At 45.7% G+C, this 18,862-nt stretch overlaps 1 protein-coding gene across 5 annotated transcripts in view, besides 1 other annotated feature; it reads right to left on the bottom strand.

Moving 5' to 3' along the window:
- AGAP1 (ArfGAP with GTPase domain, ankyrin repeat and PH domain 1) overlaps positions 1-18,862 on the bottom strand; it is a 637,751-nt gene that overhangs the window by 300,020 nt on the left and 318,869 nt on the right. The window lies entirely within an intron of this gene.
- Positions 3,410-4,609: an enhancer, noted in NCBI's record as "MED14-independent group 3 enhancer chr2:236735809-236737008 (GRCh37/hg19 assembly coordinates)". NCBI's record gives its function as "activates an origin of replication core promoter dependent on BRD2, BRD4, P300/CBP and CDK7 cofactors, and independent of MED14, by STARR-seq in HCT116 cells {active_cell/tissue: HCT116}" and the evidence as "EXISTENCE:reporter gene assay evidence [ECO:0000049][PMID:35650434]".

Raw genomic sequence — 18,862 nt, 5'->3', positions numbered from 1 at the left:
AATGTGTATTAGCAGCATTAATCATAATTGCAAAAAGTTGGAAGCACCCAAGATGTCTTTCAATAGGTGAATGGATAAACACACCATGGTACATCCAGGCAATGGAATATTACTCAGCACTGGAAAGAAATGAGCTACTGAGCCATGGAAAGACATGGAGAAAGCTTAAATGCATATTAGTGATATAAGCCAATCTGAAAAGGTTACACCTCTATCATTCCAACTCTATGGCATCCTGGCAAAGGAAAAACTATAGAGGCAGTAAAAAGATCTGTGATTTCAGGCGGTGGGGGAAATGAAGAGGTGGACCACAGGATTTTTAGGGCAGTGAAACTGTTTCTTATGATCCTATACACCGCAGTGGTGGATACAGCTCATTATACATTTGTCCAGATTCACAGAACACACTCCAACAGTGAACCCTAAAGTACAGATGGACTGAGGGTGACAGTGCTGTCAGTGCAGGCTCATCGGCTGCAACAGACTGTGGGGGACAATGGCGGAGGCTGTGGGTGTCCTTCTGCTCAACTTTGCCGTGACCTAAAACTGCTCTAAAAAAGAACGTTTACTGTTTTTTTTTTTTTTTTTTAAAGAAGAAGAGTGAAGCACTCTGGACCAATCTAGTTAAAGTCTCGAATGTGATTCCCTAACAGCTGTCATCAGTGCAGAGAGCAGCCAGCAGGTGCTGGTACCACTGTGACTCTCATGGGGTGTGCTCCTGGGTCATGCTTGTGACATCTTATAAAAGTAGCAAATGCCAGCCCCGTACAACGGCTTCCCAGGTATCGCCTACACCTGCGACACACAGGTGAGGAGGCGGCACCCATCAGCATTCTCACAGGAGTCCCCACCATCCAGTCCCATTCCTGCTTAGCTGCAGACAACTAACCAGCTAATAACTACTCTATTAGTTAGGAGTTGACTACTGGGCCTACCGACAGGTGGACCTGAGAAGAATGAGGCTATCAACAGCATCCAATAGAAGTAAAATCACTTAAAAATTCCGAGGAAGAAATATCTTATAAATGCATTTTCCACCTGCTGTGAGGAACACTAGGAGTGCTGTGTTAGTGGCTTGGGGCCGCACACCGTCCTGGGCTGGCCTAGAAACCTCAAGGTGCAACCCCCACCCCCTACCAACATTGCTTCCCCCAACAAATAAACTCCAAGCCCCCTGAGCCCCCAAAGTATCTCACAAAGAGTGCTCAGCATGCAACACTTCTGAACTGTAAACTTCCTGGTGCACACGGACCTGATGAGAGGGCACCCTCTATCAGAGGCTTTCTGATGGGATGTTTAATGAAATGAATACTTTGAAAAACAATGAATGGAACTGACGGCTTTGAAGTGCCTGCAATCAGAAAATTCACTGGCCTTGATTTGAAGAAAGACAGTGGACACTGCTAAGTGACAGCACACATCTATCTCCTCACTGACATGAGCAAAATATGAAGACAAATTCCATCTGACTTTTAAAATACAACGAATTTACTAAGTAAACCAATCCTCCACGGGCACTCAAACGGTGACTGTAGCCTGGCCCACTGGTGTCATGGGGAAGTCACACAGAGCCGACTCCTACCTTGTCTGCATCTTTTCTGGGCCTCCCAGTCTCGGATCACGGTGGCCTTGCCTTGGCAAGTACTGCCTTAGCCCTGGACAGTGTCTTCACAAATGAGAACGACTCCATCAGCCAGCCGCCAAAGCTCTGCATCATGCTGTCCCACCCCGACCCCCAGTCTTCCTTCTGACTGTGTATGTCCAGGTGTCCTGGTCCCCATGTGCCCCCAGTCTTCCTTTGACTGTCCATGTCCAGATGTGCCGGTCCCCAGAGACTACTTGTCACTTCCTGAAGCTCTGCCTGTCCCGGCCCACTGACACCCACTCTCTATTGCCAGTTCTTCACACCACCTTCTCTGGTCCTTGACCACCCCCTGCACGGCAAACTCCCCAGGGCCAAGCAGCCTCCTGTCTATCTGCGCCTTCCACAGAGCCCAGCACAGAGGGGCCACCCACTGCTGCAAGGATGGACGATACCATCAGGCTGGGTCACCAAGCCCCCATGGAGTTTGAAGAATTTCCCACAAAGAAGATGTAGAAATACAGAGAGTCCAAAAAATTAAAAATCATCTATCACCAACTTATAAAAAATCTCTTCGCAATATATAACAAGCTAACATCATGATTAATTTTTCACAAGTGAAGGAAAACTACCCAACTGGCTTCATCAGGAGTGGTGGTGAATTCTCTAGTGGCAATTCAGTATACATTTGGCCAGGATTGACTCAGATGTCAAATGCTGTGCCCTTTCTTGCTCACAAGGTCTCAGGGTTCTTAGGAAAGTTAGAACCTGGTTATTAACATGGCCACAGTCTCTACATCCTGAAAATACTTCTCCCTTTGGAAACACAGGTGACCGACTGCTAATGCTGCCCCATCACATTACGGACATAAAGAAAATGAATCCTTGATGACGAAAGTGGAATTCTGACAACGGCCACAGTGGTCCAGCTCTCTCTCTCTCTCCAGAAAACGAAATGCACCATCTAACAACAAGGCCAGGGGCCAGGGGATGCACAGAGGCTGCCTGCAAGTCCAAGGTCAGCCAGGCGCTGCCTCATGCCCCATGGCAGAACAAACAGGGAAACGCAGGTTGTAGACAAAGTCCTGGTGCCAATCTGCCCAGTCACTGGTGCCCATCTACCCAGTAGCCCAAATGTTGAAAGACAACAGGAATAAAAGAGAGACATCTGCCTTAGACTGAACTCTGTACCAGTCCACAAAACTGCATCTTAAGACAATGACACCTGACCCCCAAAACTGAGGCTCAGAACTCTGGACAGGCTGCGTCTGAGAGCTGTGTCTTACAAACGAGGACTCAAGGTCTGTTCTTTCTCGGAGCATCCATTGCACGTTCAAATGGTAAGGGCTGTGAGTCATGCAAAATGACACCCATTATCTTCGTGTGGTTTAGCGTGTCCTCAACGTGTCAACCAGGGACATCTCATGACATCCGAGCAACATGTGGACCCAACAGTCTTGGGATGGACTTTGAAAAGGCTGGGTGAGCGAAAGCTTCTGGAATTTGCTCCATGACATTCCACTCTTAGGGCAACATGCTCTCAAAGTAAGCTTGAGCCTAAATTCTACCCTGGACTACCCTCTACGTTTCCAATTCCAGAGGTTTATCAATTAAGACATACACACCCCTGGGCAAGACCTCCCCAGGTATTTTCTGCCTTCTCATAGAACAAACGTGACTCGTGGGCAGTTCCATACAATGCATAAGTGTTAGTTTACCACTCCCAGGCTGAGTGACATTGAGTAAGTGGCTCAACTTCTCTGAGCATTCATTCTGTCTGTGAAATGGGGATTATGCTATTATCCCTCCTAAGGTGGTTGTGAGAATTGAGATTTTTCATTACATAAATATTTACTGAGAGCTACTCTAGGGGTCTGGGATACACTGGTGACCAAAAAAAGAAATTCCCAACATGGGGTGCTTATGTTCCAGTGGGCTGCCACAGAAAGGGGTCGGCCTAGTGCAGAGGAATGCTCATTTCACTGAGTTCAAAATACTTCCTCTTCCATCAATTCCTGTAGCCAAGAAAGATACTCGAATTTAATCCCATTATTTCCCAGAAACATGAGAACAAGCCAGAAAACATTTGTCCCCAGGAAACCAAAATTCAGGATCCCCATCTGCTCTCATCTTTCTCTGGGATACTTGTTGTAAGTCTGTCAAAATGCAGCCCCTACTGCACCGTCAGGACCCACAGTGGCTGGGCAAGCCTCAGTCCTGGAGTCCCGCAGGCTGGCCTGCTCCAGAAACCAGCGCTTCCCAGAAGCCAGTGCAGCCTCCCTCGCAGCCCAGCCCTCCGGGCCTCTCCCCACAGGCATGCTAGCAACATCCCAGCAGGCGCAAAGCATTCCAGAGTGAAGGCAGCCACCCCTGAAAACACCCCTCTATCTTCAAGGCCTACATTTCTCCAGTATTCTGACAGCTTTTAGTACGGGCAAGCTATGTTAAAGGAAAGCCTCCCTGACTAACCTTGGAAGTGTAGTTCAATGCCGGTGACGATTCAGCCGTGGATGTTACTCTTAGGCGTGCCACCTGTGACTCATGCTCAGAGGGTAGAATGGGGGCCACAGCCACACCCTCTCCCCTTCCTTCCAAGGGCTGCAGCAAAGTATCCTGGCACACTAAGGAACTTTTAAAAGTCATTGATAAGGCTCATTAATGTATCAAAATGTCACCTACTCAATGTGAACCATTAAAAATTATTAGTACAAGTATTAGTAGAAATAGTCATTAAAGTGCAGAAATACCAGGAGAAATATCAAGTAGAAATATTCATCACCTTGGAGCTACGCCGGCAGCCCCCTTACCTCCTGCTCCAAGCCCTTCAGCCACGTGGGTCAGGAGCTGTGCCCTGTGGTCTCAGCCCTCAGGTCAAAGCCCTGAAACCTCAGGGTGAGCAAGGAGAGTCTGCGTGGAGAATCAATTTCACTCAAACACTTGGAGAAAAACAGCAATGTTAACTCACAAATAATAGAAAGTATATTCAAACACGTGATGCATGTATGAAGCAGAAAGTAAAAGTCACACATATTTTTAAAATAAGACGTTGCAGCTGTGTCCTCTCATCTTGAAGGGGATGTATTTCCTCTCCTCTGCAATCTGGGGAGACGCACAAGCCGCACTACAAACCCGCCCAGGGGTGAAGAGCTCCCCTCCTCCTTGCCCTGCTTAGGATGAGCCATGGATCTGGTACTGAATTCTCCAACACGCGGAGCCACCGTATCTGAAAAGTGCAGGTACTTTTCTCTAACTTAATCAAAGTTAGTGAACAATAGGAGGAAGGAGATATGAAATCATTGCTTTGGAGGCTGTTTGGCCAAATTTGTGTGTTTTAGAAACATTCTGTGGAGAAAAGTGACGAAGACAGCCAGCCACCTCCACAGGAACTTCGTGAAGAAACTCTCAGGGTGGCTAATGTTGCAAAAAAACATTTTTAAAAAGATATGGGGAAGCAAGCCGTGTGCAGTGGCTCACACCTGTAATTCCAGCACTTTGGGAGGCTGAGGCGGGTGGTAGGAGTTCGAGCCCACCCTGGCCAACATGGTAAAACCCCGTCTCTACTAAAAATACAAAAATTAGCTGGGTGTGGTGGCGGGCGCCTGTAATCCCAGCTACTTGGGAGGCTGAGGCAGGAGAATCACTTGAACCTGGGAGGTGGAGGTTGCAGTGAGCCGAGATCGTGCCACTGCACTCCAGCCTGGGTGACAGAGCAGCAAGACTCTTGTCTCAAAAAAAGGAGTGGGGGTGGGGGAAGAAAAAAAAAGATATGTGAAACGGAGCAACGGAGACGAAAGTAGAAAGAATGAACCTGCAAATGCATGGTTATGCAGCTGATGGTTACCTTTCCTTATCCCTGCTCAGGCCCTGTATCTGCCCAAGCAGCATCTCTGAGTTGGCAGAGGTTAGACTTTTGGGGCCCTTAATAAGCCATGCTCATGAGGAAAACTAGGTCACCCTATTTGGGGGTAACCTGAAAGGAATCTATGAGGGATAAAGAGCATGCCAACGCTCTGCCATCCAGTAAGCAAACGGTGTGTTCCTTCTCCTTCTACTGGAGCCAACAACTAAGCAGGTGGCTCTTTCATCACAGGGCATGGCGCCACGTTAGCATGGTTTCGCACACCTCCTCTTCCACGCTGGGTGCAGCAACAATTGAGAGGGTTTCTATTTTTTTTTTTCTGTTTTTAATTTTTTGAGTACATAGTAGGTGTATATATTTATGAGGCACATGAGATGTTTTGATACAGGCATGCAATGTGAAAGCAGCACACTGTGGAGAATAAGGTCTCCATCCTCTCATTTATCCATTGGGTTACAAACAATCCAATGACACTCTTTTAAGTTATTTTTAAATGTATAGTTATTACTGACTAAAGTCACCCTGCTGTGCTATCAAATAGTAGGTCTCATCCATTCTATTTTTTGGACCTAGAGAGGGTTTTAACATTTCAAATTAAACACTATTTTTTATTGTATATACTGACCAACATGCAAACATATTTGATAAATTAGTAATTGTGTTCAATGTATATTTAGTTCTAGCCATCTTAAGCTTTTTAATGAAGACTTTGCTGGATACATTTTTCTGCTTCACCTAACTGAAAATAAAATACTACCATCTACTTTTAAAAGCAGACACTGAAATAATGCACATGATTTTTGCCCCAGTTAAGCAAAAGCATAATGATATTTATATGCATAAGTGATCACGGGAAGGGCAATAGAAAAAAATAACGGACTGGCCTAAAATGAATAATAATAGTTTTCAAAAACTCGTTAATGCTGCTTTTCAGGCCATAAGCACGGCCAACAAGATATTAAAAATGTTTTCCTCAAAATGAAGCCACAGCCACCATGGTGGCAGCTGTTCAAAGGGTCGTTGGATCTTCCACTGGAAATTCAAAAGGATAACGGTTTCTGCATCTTTCACATTAGCAGCACCAATATGTGCATCATTTCAGTGTCCTCTCCCCTCGGTCAAGAAGGAAGGGGTCTGGAGACGGGAGCCTGCATCCAGGAAGCCTGGGAGGCTCCCTCTGACCCACGATGGCTGTCTCTCCTTCTATCCACACTCAATTTCAACAAGGAGAAACAGGTCTCATTTTCTTTCAATATCATTTTCAGTAGCAATTTGCACTTTTCTACAAATGGTCTTTCATATGGTTATTCTTGCTGAATTGCAAATAAGAAAAAGCTTCCATAAATCAAGTCTCCTGAATCTCCTCCACTGTTGATAAAAAAAGGAAGGTTTCCATTAGGGGGAAAGAAAAATCAGAAAAGCGCCTGTAAACGTGAGACATAAAAACATGCTTTCCTTTTCCTGAAATTATCCAAACCCGTGAATGCACCGGTTACCTTGATGGGTATACATAAAACAACAATATGCCTGAGAAAAACACAGTTGTGTTTTAGGTTGAGCATTTCTTGGTACCGCGAAAGAATGCAGGCCGTCTCATATAAGGGCACATCTCATCTACATGTGGAATATATTTTTATTGCTCTGGGAATAGTCACTGTTAACTGAATGCAACAACAAAAAGGGGGAAAAGGAGCATGCAGACCCGAGGGAATCACCAAATCAATTAACAAGTAATTCGGGAACTAATTTCTACATTGCCTCTTAGCACAAAATTGTATCTTTAATTTCTCCTGCAATAAGCATCTCAATGATGGTCCTAACACACACTGACGCTGTAAATGAGTTTACAAGTATCTCTTTTTGATTGGCTGTACAACATTATTTCTTCACAGTTCAATGCTACTGTAGCCAAGTGCTCTGAAATATTTAATTACACTGGTAGCTACCAGTTACCAATTTGCAAGACCCACAGTGAGTACAGTACATTTTAAAGAACTAGTAATCAACTAATTAAAGCCACTGTCAATCCCAGATACTCCAATTACAAACAACTGCTTTCGAATACACTTAGAGGATTTCTGTATTAAGGGGAAAGGGATCTCACAGAAGGCCTAGCTGTACCGTGGAACACGGGTGCCACCAATCGAAGACCCCTCAGCGTTGGCGCTATTTAGAAAACGTTTCTGCAGTAGTCCCTGGGTGTAGTCCTGTGCCTGAATTTTTAACATAAACAGAATGTTAAGTTATATATAAGTTAAGTTACATACTGGGAGCTCGGTGCTACATAAGGCCCTTCAATGTGAAGACCACTGGTTTTAGGATAGGCAGACCTGGGTTTGAATCTTATCTTTGCCTCTTCCAGGCTCTAGGAAATCATGCAAGGCGAGCCTCAGCTTTCTCATCTATAAAATGTGCAGAGGAATGAATGCCACCTAGCCTCACAGGACTGCTGGGAATCAATGAGCCTGCTAGATACATAAACACACAAAGGATGGTCATGTTGTCTCTTAGTAACCACATGCTTTCAAAGGTAATGCTTTTTATCTATTCCCTTGCATATTTAAAAAAACAGATAAAACAGCATGAAGCTTAAAGATTCAACTTAGAAAAAGCTGACCAGTCGCAATACAATAAAAATATCTGGGTCAAAACAGTAAACAACCACTACTTGTTATTTCTATTTTTTTGAGAAGTGCACAAGGAATAAGAAAATGCTGGTGTCAGTGGTGGAAATGGTACTGGAAGAGCATCTGGAAGGACCTTGAGCAAGCTCTTTACCCTTCCTGGGACTCAGTTTCCCTAGGTATAAGATGAGGGTCCCTTCTAGCTTTAAAAACAGCATGTTTGTTGGGCAGTTCACTGTAATTCTGGTGCGAGCACAGGGAAAAGCACTCTAGAGCTGGGCGTGGTGGCTCGCACCCATAGTCCCAGCTACTCGGAGAGGATAAGGCAGGAGGTTTGCTTGAGGCCAGGAGCTCGAGACCAGCCTGGGTGATACGGGGAGGTGGGGAAAGACAGCACTCAGTTATTTGGGCAACAATGGGAAGATGGTAGGGAAAAATAAATCTTAGGGTTAATCTATAGAATTATAGATTATAATTGTTAACATAATACATAATGATATGTTACATATCATAATAACATGTTAATATGTTACATAAATTTACATATGTACACACATACTATACATAGTTTTTGTTCTCTGAGAGAAACTACTTGGAAAAAATAGGTAAGATTCTGAGTAACAGAATTCCCAACCTTCATGAATGAAATTACGAGATGAAACCCAAAGAACACATGTTGGTTTGTGGCAGCGCCTTTGTGAAGCTTCTTTACCTAAACAGCGAGCCACACCTGGATCACAGTAGCACTTGAATTGCATCTGTTGCTTGACAAACATATTGGCATGGCCTGAAGGGAAATCAATAGCCATCCATCCTTCCCTCGGATGTGCTGGGTATCTACCGCATGCCCACCCGTCGGGGTCCACGACCAGGAAGCCCCTCTTGTTCAGTTCTAGAACTGCCACCCCATTCTCACCAGATCTATCTGGGAAGGTCCACTCACACTCACCACTCCCAGCTCGGGCTCACTCAGGGCTTCTCCAGCTCCTCTTCACCACTGAGCTTCTTCAGCTTCTTCCCATTCCCAAGCTTCTCCAGCTCCTCCTCACCCTTGGGCTTCTCCAGCTCCTCTTCACCACTGAGCTTCTTCAGCTTCTCCCCATTCCCAAGCTTCTCCAGCTTCTCTTCACCCTTGGGCTTCTCCAGCTCCTCCTCACCCTTGAGCTTCTTCAGCTTCTCTTCATTCTTGAGCTGCTCCAGCTTCTCTTCATTCTTGAGCTTCTCCAGCTCTTCCTCACCCTTGAGCTTCTCCAGCTCTTCCTCACCCTTGAGTTTCTCCATCTCCCCCTCACCCCTGGGCTTCTCCAGCTCCTCCTCGCTCCTGGGCTTCTCCAGTTCCTCCTCACCTCTAGGTTTCCCCAGGTCTTCTTTAAGTAACCAACAAGTTTCAAAATCATCCTCATTTACTCCTTCCCTCCAATACAGGAAGAGTTAAAAAAGCACTTTAAATTTTATTTAAGACTGTACACATTTATCAGAAGAAAATAGTTTTCATTTTATAAAACCTACTTATTATTGAGTACAACGTCTATCACTAAAAATGATCAGCACAGCCTCAAAGTATCTCCCCGAAGACATTCATCCCTAACTTTATCAAATGGAAAAATAAGAACTCAAGGGAGAAATCCAATAGGTCTCGCCTTGTCCAAGTGACCAAGGTCAGTGTTCCCAGGAATAAGACAGGTGGCTGTCAGGTGCCTCTGGTACAGAGCACCAGGAAGGGTGCAAGGCTTCTGTGGTTTTCCTGCCAGAAATGTAGATCTTCTATCTATTCAGGAGATGACATCAGGCAATCCAAATTAAAGAGCTTTCTACAAAGTAACTGATCAATATTCCTAAAATAGTGTCAAGGTCATGGACATAAGACTTGAGGAATTTTCTCAGGGTGGAAGTGGCAAAATAAATAAAGCAATTAAGTGAAAGGAGGGATCCTGGATTGGATCCTGAGATTAAAAAGAACATTTCAGGAAAAACTGGTAAAATGTGAAGAAGGCCTATAGATAAGTTACTAGTACCTTACCAATACTAATTTCCTGGTTTTTATAGCTGTACTAGTTATATAAAAATGTCCACAGTGAAGGAAGCTGGGTGAAGGGTATATGGAGTCTTTGTATTATTTTTTGCAAATTTCTTTCAAATCTAAAATTATTTCAAAACATGAAGTTAAAATTTTTAAAGTTCCCTGTAGTCCCGGCTACTCGGGAGGCTGAGGCAGGAGAATGGTGTGAACCCGGGAGGCAGAGCTTGCAGTGAGCCAAGATCGCACCACTGCACTCCAGCCTGGGTGACAGAGCGAGACCCCGTCTCAAAAAAAAAAAAAAAAAAATTGAAGTTCTGCTTTAAACCTACCCCAGTTCACTTGTTACTGCGTTCCTATTCATCCAATTTAAAGCCACATGTATACATATTTTCATGCTCCAATTATTATACACAGTTTTATGTTTTATGCTTTCACTTATCTCTAAAGGGTATTCAAATTGGCCATTTTAATGGCTGTACATCCTGGTACTATTCAGTTAGCAATTACTAATTTAACTTCTTGCTTGTTGAAAATTTGTAGCTCCCAGAATTTTAATATTATAAATAACTGCTATACACACTGTTTTACACTAAAGGTCTTTTTCCCTTTCTCCTAGTGAATTATTCCCTTGAGGATAAACTTCTAGAAGACAGATCACTGGGACAAAGTGAATCAAATTTCTTATGTCCATCATGTATGACTGTTAGATTGCCCTTCAAGAAGACTGGGTCAAGTTTCAGGACTATAGCAGTGCATTTCCACAACTCTGCTCTTCCTTATTTTTCTTAGAGTAGGATTTTATCATTCTTTGTTAATGATACATTTTAGTATACAATGATTTCATATTGTCTTAAATCTCCAATACTTTAGATATGAGCAAAGGAAGGCCAACACACCCAACCAGAGCTATCTGCTTCTCGTGGTTCCTCATTGCCTAATCATTACTTGGCACATTACTCGTCTCTCCACTAGTATTTCTGTGTAGCTGTTTTATATATTTGTATAAAATTAATTTTTATGTACACTAAAAATATAAACATTCTTGTTTTTAGCATGAATGAAATCACAGAGGCTGTGGCTGATAGAGACTGAACAATATGGTAAAAACTTGGCAATTACAAAAACAGTCCGGTGTTACTAAAATTTGTGGGTTTAATCTTGAAGAATTCCTTATAAACAAAATTTTGTATGTGAAGACATTTATTTAAACAAATCTTCTTCTGGATAAATACTCAAAAGTAGAAAAGTTGTACAAGAAACCAGTTTTCTGAAATTATTTTGGGTCACTGGCAAAAGCTTTCTTCTTTGCAGATTAAAAAAATGTGACCACTTCTGTGTAACCTAAACATACTATCTTAGATACATAAAAGTTAAAGAATGTTGACTTAAAAATTATAATGTTCCTGAAAATACAATTTAATGAATACTGTAACTTCTCCAATATAACATATTCTTTTAAACAAACAAAATCTGTTTTGGTGAAGAAAAGACATTTTAGCCACGCATGGTGGCTGTACTCCCAGTACTTTGGGAGGCCGAGGCAGGCAGATCACCTGAGGTTGGGACTTGAAGACCGGCCTGAACATGGAGAAACCCCATCTCTATGAAAAATAGAAAATTAGCTGGGCATGGTGGTGAATGCCTGTAATCTCAGCTAGCCGGGAGGCTGAGGCAAAAGAATCACTTGAACCTGGGAGGCGGAGGTTGCGGTGAGCTGAGATCGCACCATTGCACTCCAGCCTGGGCAACAAGAGCAAAACTCCGTCTCAAAAAAAAAAAAAAAAGAAAGAAAGAAGAAAAAAAAAAGCCATTTTACACAATTAACCTATGCTACCTAGTGCTACTACCACCAGCAACCTGCCTACCAAATACCCTCCCTGCTGTGTACACAACGCAGGAGAAAGAACATGTCTCGGAGTGTGCACCATCCGGAAACACGTGGGAAAGGAGGCGTGAATGATGCACATAGCTATAAACAGGGAAGATAGAGAGCAAGATCCCAAGATCGGACGGGCATCGGAGGAAAGAAAAGGAAAGAGCACACATCTCATTGGTTTACCTGGAACAGAAGGCATCTGACACGGGCCTCACGGCTAGGAAAATTTTCACGAGCACAGATTAAAGGGGCTGGTACGAATCAAAGAGTCATCTATTTGTGAGGCGGGAAAGGAAAGAAGCCCTAAGTGACTCCATGTGCCTAGAAAGGGGATCTCAAAGTGTGGCTCCTGGATTAGCAGCATCAGCATCACTTGAGAACACAGAAATACAATCTCCTGCCAGGCGCAGTGGCTCACGCCTGTAATCCCAGCACTCTGGGAGGTGGAGGTGGGTGGATTGCCTGAGCTCAGGAGTTTGAGACCAGCCTGGGCAACATGGCAAAACCCTATCTCTATTAAAAATACAAAAAATTAGCCAGGTATCGTGGTGTGTGCTTGTAGTCCCAACTACTTGGGAGGCTGTTATGAGGATCAATTCAACACGGGAGGCAGAGGTTACAGTGAGCCAAGATATTGCACCATTTTATTTCAGCCTGGGTGTCAGAGTAGACTCTGTCTCCAAAAAAAAAAAAAAGAAAAGAAAAGAAAAGAAATACAATTTCCCGATACTCGATTCTGACCTACTCAGGCAACCTCTGGGCCCACAGGGACTCCGATGAACACTGGAGCTCAAGGACCTCATCTGATCTTGATCCAGGTGCCAGACAGCACAGACTTTCCAGGACAGCCCTGCGTAAAACAGCCTGCCTTGCTGGTGCCCCACCAGGAAAGTACACTGTGTACTTGATGCTTGATCTTGCACAGAAAAGATGGCCATGGGCCGGGCATGGTGGCTCACGCCTGTAATCCCAGCACTTTGGGAGGCCGAGGCAGGTGGATCACCTAAGGTCAGGAGTTCGAGAACAGCCTAACATGGTGAAACCCCATCTCTACTAAAAATACAAACCTTAGTCGGGCATGGTGGCATGTGCCTGTAATCCCAGCTACTTAGGAGGATGAGGCAGGAGAATTGCTTGAGGTCAGGAGTTCGAGACCAGCCTGACTAACATGGTGAAACCCTGCCACTACTAAAAATACAAAACGTAGCTGGGCATGGTGGCCCATGCCTGTAATCCCAGCTACTCGGGAGGCTGAGGCAGAAGAATAGCTTGAATCTGGGTGACAGAGGTTGCAGTGAGCTGAGATCATGCCATTGCACTCTAGCCTGGGTGACAGAGCAAGACTGTCTCAAAACAAACAAACAAACAAAAAAAAGACGGTCATGGTGAGCACAGATGGCATGGGGCGGGAAGGGGATGCAACAGCATAGGCTTTTCTAGAATGTTTCAGAGAGGACTCCTGGATTTGAATCCCAGCTCTTCCACTCACGTGGAGCTATATAACATCGGTCTCATACCTTAACATCCCTGAACCTCAAACTCTTCGTCTAGAACAGAGTAGCAAGTTGTATCTTAGGTTGGTGGAGAATTAAATGAGGTCCTGTGATGAAGCAACCAACGTAATGTACAATATGTACTCGGCATGTAACTGCCAGCATTCTTATTACAAGTCTCACACGATAATAATGTGGTTGATTCTGATGAGTTTTTAAGCAGAAGGAAAGGTTAGGGAGTAAATATTGCAGGGAGCAGATCGGATTGAACCAGGAGGACTAGACTTGGGACGGCCCTAAGATGTTAATAGTATTTTGAAATGTTTCTGTTTTCACCAGTCTGCAAACATTAACTATAGTATTAGGTAATTTATGGACAATGTCTAACTAGGAACATATTTCCCAAACTAACAAACTCTTCTTTTTTTTGAGACAGAGTCTCACTCTGTTGCCCAGGCTGGAGTGCAGTGGTGCGATCGCAGCCCACTGCAACCTCCCCGTCCCGGGTTCAAGCGATTCTCCTGCCTCAGGCTCCCGAGTAGTTGGAATTACAGGCATGCGCCACCGTGCCCGGCTACTTTTTGTCTTTTTGGTAGAGATGGGGTTTCGCCATGTTGGCCAGGCTGGTTTTGAACTCCTGGCCACAACTGATCTGCCTGCCTCGGCCTCCCAAAGTGCTGGGATTACAGGCATGACGCACCGCACCCAACCTAAAACTAACAAACTCTTCTATGCCTACTTTATAATATTTACATTCCTATATATTTACTTATAGCTGTCAGCTTTGGTACCAAGGAAAGAGTGTTTTGGTTTCAAAACATGGCCTTCAGTGAGTCAGTTAAAAGTAAATTCTTTTACTTTTAGATGTAGGAGAGGAAAAAGTGTTTTTGCTACTCAAAACTATCTGATAAAAATGTCATTGTCTGATGACTTTCCTGAAAAGCCTCAAAAGGGGACTGTGAAGACTTATTAAGCCGCCACCTTCTTTAGAACTTGTGGAGCCAAAGGCTCTGGAGTAGGCAACAAGCAGAACCATGTCATAGGGGTGTGTGAGGGAGAACCACAGCGACAGTCTTGGGACAGAGTGCACAGTCTGGGCCTTCCTGACCATTTCTGGGAAAATGTGTCTGGTCTAAGAGCCATGCCAAGTGCCATAAGTTCCACGGTTGCTGTTTCTAAACAAAACATGAAATTCTGGCAGCCAGTGATTTCTCTCTGCCAGGAGAGGTGCTTGTTTGGTTGTCAAAGCCTCTATTCACAAAGGACAAAACTCAGCTTGGGAGAAGTCCTATTCCACAGTCCAAGTTCCTACACGAGGAGAAACTGAGTCTGCTGTCAGGAACTGTTAAATAAATACTGCAGAACTGAAATAAGACTTTAATGATACAATTTCCTTAGGAGTCTTGGTCTTGGTAGATATCTTTTTTTTTTTCTTCTTTTTGAGACAGAGATCAAAAAAGGAGTCCAGTAGCATGATCTCGGCTCACTGCAACCTCCGTCTCCTGGGTTCAAGCGATTCTCATGCCTCGGCTTCCCAGGTAGGTGGGATTACAGGTGCACACCACCATGTGTAGCTAATTTTTGTATTTTTAGTAGAGATGGGTTTTTGCTATGTTGGCCAGGCTGGTCTTGAACTCCTGGCCTCAGGTGATCCACTCACCTCGGTCTCCCAAAGTGCTGACATGACAGGCGTGAGCCACCACACCCAGCTGGTAGACATCTGTTTCTATGTAGTGTTTGCAAATGGCCAAAGACTGTGGGAAGTAGTCAGAGCTACTTGTCACGTGTGGGGATTTTAACCTTTAAGGTGAAAGGCCTCCTAAGTCTGACCTGGAGTCTCTGCACTCCTGCTCTTTCTTTCCTTTTTTTTTTTTTTTTTTTTGAGACGGAGTCTCGCTCTGCCACCCAGGCTGGAGTGCAGTGGTGCGATCTTGGCTCGCTGCAACCTCCGCCTCCCGGGTTCATGCGATTCTCCTGCCTCAGGCTCCCAAGTAGCTGGGACTACAGGCACCCGCCACCACGCCTGGCTAATTTTTTGTATTTTTAGTAGAGACGGGGGTTTTACCATGTTAGTCAGGATGGTCTCGATCTCCTGACCTCGCGATCCACCCACCTCGGCCTCCCAAAGTGCTGGGATTACCGGCGTGAGCCACTATGCCCAGCTGTATCTTTCTTTCAGTAATGAAGTGAGTATATAGCTATCTTTTATACCTGGGAGAAATTAACCAAAACACAAAACACCACAGCCACTGTCAAAGCAACCAGTGACACAACTGACGGACAGTGAGCACCTGCCCAATCCACAGGCTCTTCCTGAACATCCCCAGCTACAGGCCCAACATTTACCCGCGGCCCTGAGGAGCTGCCTCCGCAAGGGAAGGGAGCTTTGGTTTTCAAAACCAGCCTGAAGGAGGTCTCCCATGGACGGGACTGAAAGGCCTCAACAGCTGTAAAACGCACTGCACAGAGTGAGAGCTACGCACCTGGTATAAGGATTCGTTCCAGCAACAGTCTTATTTCAAATGACAACAGTTTACCACAACTTAGGAAAGTTTCAATGGAAACCCCCAAGTCGGAGTACTTTGAGTCTCGTATGCTTCCTATCTAACGCATGCGGCCTCTTCAAGTAAGTTTTTCTTTTTTATTCTCAAATATGTTGGTTAGAAATCAAGTGGCCTTACCTTATATGACCAGGAAGGCCTAAGCTAGGACATTCCAGATGGAAAGAACATGGCAGATGGCTCTCGGTCACACAGAGCTCAGCTCCCGTCCCAGCTCTGCTACTACCCAGCTGTGTGTTACAGGATGAAATACGTCCCCCCAAAATTTGCATGTTGAAGCCCTCACCCGCAGTGGGACTGTATTTGGAGACAAGGTTAAATGACGTACAGATGGGACCCTGATTCAATGGGACTGGCATCATTATAAGAAAAAGAGACACCAGGCGTGTGCACATGGAGTCCAGGCCACGGGAGGACACAGCAAGAAGGCAACAGGCTCAAGCCAAGGAGAGGGCTCTCCAGAAACAGGCTCTGCTGGGCCTTGTCTTGGACCTCCAGCCTCTAGAACCGAGAGATCAACTTGTGCTGTTTAAGCCGCCCAGGCTGCAGGATTTCATTAGGGCAGCCCTGGGGACTCATGCGCTGTGTGGGGCTGCTGGGCACGCCCCACTGTCTCCCCAAGCCTTAATGTTCTCATATGGGAAAGGGGAGCGTGGCACTTCCTAGGTAAGGGGGACAGCAGTGGAAAGCTCTAGGACAGGGCACTCGGAAAAGTGGTCAATAAACGCTGGTTACCGCCAAGACTCTGGTACATCAGAACCCCCATCATCTCAAACCCTATGGGGACAGAGTAAGAAGGGGAGGGAGATCCACTCCGTGCGGCCATGAGTCTCTAAACCCCCAACACCACTGCTCCTACAAATAATATGGGGAAATCAACCCTTCTCTGCAGAGCAGCCAGAGTCCTTGGCAAGCAGATACCCTGGGCCTTTAGGACCCTCCTCCCCACTTCCTCCTGAACCCCTCCATCCGCAGCTCTGCTGTCTGCCTCCCTCCTGTTCTGCCACCACCTACTTGTATGTCCCAGTCCAGTGGGATTGTCCCCACCTCCATTTCCCTGTCCTTCCCTCACCCTCTCCTGTCTAACTCAGTAGAATTCACCACTCCTTGGCGTGACACCCGTCCACTTGCATTGGGGGTCATGGGATGGGATCGTCAGTACACACCTGAGCTGAGCCTGGGGGCTGCAGACACTTTCTGCCTCCTCCAGCCGTAGCAGAGGACCCAGGGCATGTCACACAAGGACCAGTGAACAATTGTTACTAGTTGATCAAATCTGATAAGAAATAATTCCAGAAATAAGTATCTTTTTGATTCATCAAGACAAAAACAAGTTCTGGCAACATTAACTTTGAGAATCTTTCCTCTACTTGTAGGAGAGCTTGTATTTCTGAGCTCAAGGGGAATTGGATTTCACCACCACTGTTCAACTTTTAAAGAAAATAAGCACTATTTTGCTGAAACAAATCACTTAGATATTATCCCGGTGAAATGGGAGGCAGGCAGGGAAGTGCTGGGTAGAGAAGGGCAGGCTCCCTGGCAAGAGCTCCGCCCTTGGGCCTGTGCCCACAGACATAGGCGAGGACAGGCATTCCAGTTCTTGCGCCCAAACACTGCATTTTCCAAGACCACCCTGGCCTGCCACTCCCCCCATCCTGTGCCTATAAAAACCCCGAGACCCTAGTGGGCACACACACAGGCGGCTGGGCGTCGAGAGAAGCACACCGGCAGAAGAACACACCAACAGACTCTGGCAGGCCACCAATGGCAGAACGATGTGGGTGACGTGGAATTCACCCGGGGGCGGTAGGAGGAGAGTCCGGCCACTGAGTGGCCCGACTCCAGGGTAAGACCACCTTCCCACTCCATCGCCCTTCTGGCTACCATCCATCTGCTGAGAACTACTGGCACCACTCATTAAACGTTGCACTCATTCTCCAAGCTGACGTGTGATCCAATTCTTCCAGTACACTAAGGCAAGAACCCTGGGATACAGAAACCCTCTGTCCTTGCAATAAGGCAGAGGGACTAACTGAGCTGATGGTCACAGGCTGCCTGTGGACAGCCAAACCGAAAAGCACACTGTAACACACGCCCACTGGGGCTTCAGGAGCTGTCAACGCCCAGCCCTAGACCATGCTGTGGGATCGGAGCCCATGCTCCCCACAACCCGCCTGACTGCCTGCCCGCCCCCCTAGGGGTCTGAGCTGCGGGACACCGAAGAAGTGAGCCACAGCCCATCACATGCCCTGCGAGGGAGATAAAGGAACTTTTCCTGTTTCACCAGCTCTGGACAATGGATACACAGAGGACACACTGAGTCTTAAAACGAACTTCCGTTCTTGGAAACGCCATTCTGTTAGCATGGCAGTTGGTCGTGTATGATGCACCTAGGGCTACACTACTTCCTGTCACCCTCATGCAACCCTCACGGCCAAGGGAAGTATTCTTTTCGATTGCTTTGCAGATTTGCATATAAATGATGGATTTTGTGCTTTGGGTAAAGTAATTCCAAATAAACATTCTGCACATCTTGTGAGGAACATATTGTCACCCACCAACATTGCCAAAAGGGCGGGGATGTAGGGGAGGGTGTGCCCGATATACTCAAAGACGGATGACTGTCATTTCACGTGTAGGCCTCCAGATATTCTGGACTGTTCTGGCAATGACAGTATGAGATTTGAGGAGTCAAAGTAAAAGCACTGATACACCTGCCTGGCTATTACATTAATCATCGTAACTGGGCTGGGTCTGTTGTGAACCGGGCTGAATATAAGACTCTCAGGGAGTTGTTCACCCAAGTGAGGTCAATTAGCTTGCAGGGCACGGCAGTTCACTCTGTAA

The sequence above is a fragment of the Homo sapiens genome, chromosome 2 (genome assembly GCF_000001405.40).
Source record: "Homo sapiens chromosome 2, GRCh38.p14 Primary Assembly".
In the NCBI taxonomy this organism is placed as follows: Eukaryota; Metazoa; Chordata; class Mammalia; order Primates; family Hominidae; genus Homo; species Homo sapiens.
Note: the sequence above shows the minus strand (reverse complement) of the source record. Positions and strands in the feature narration are given on the sequence as shown.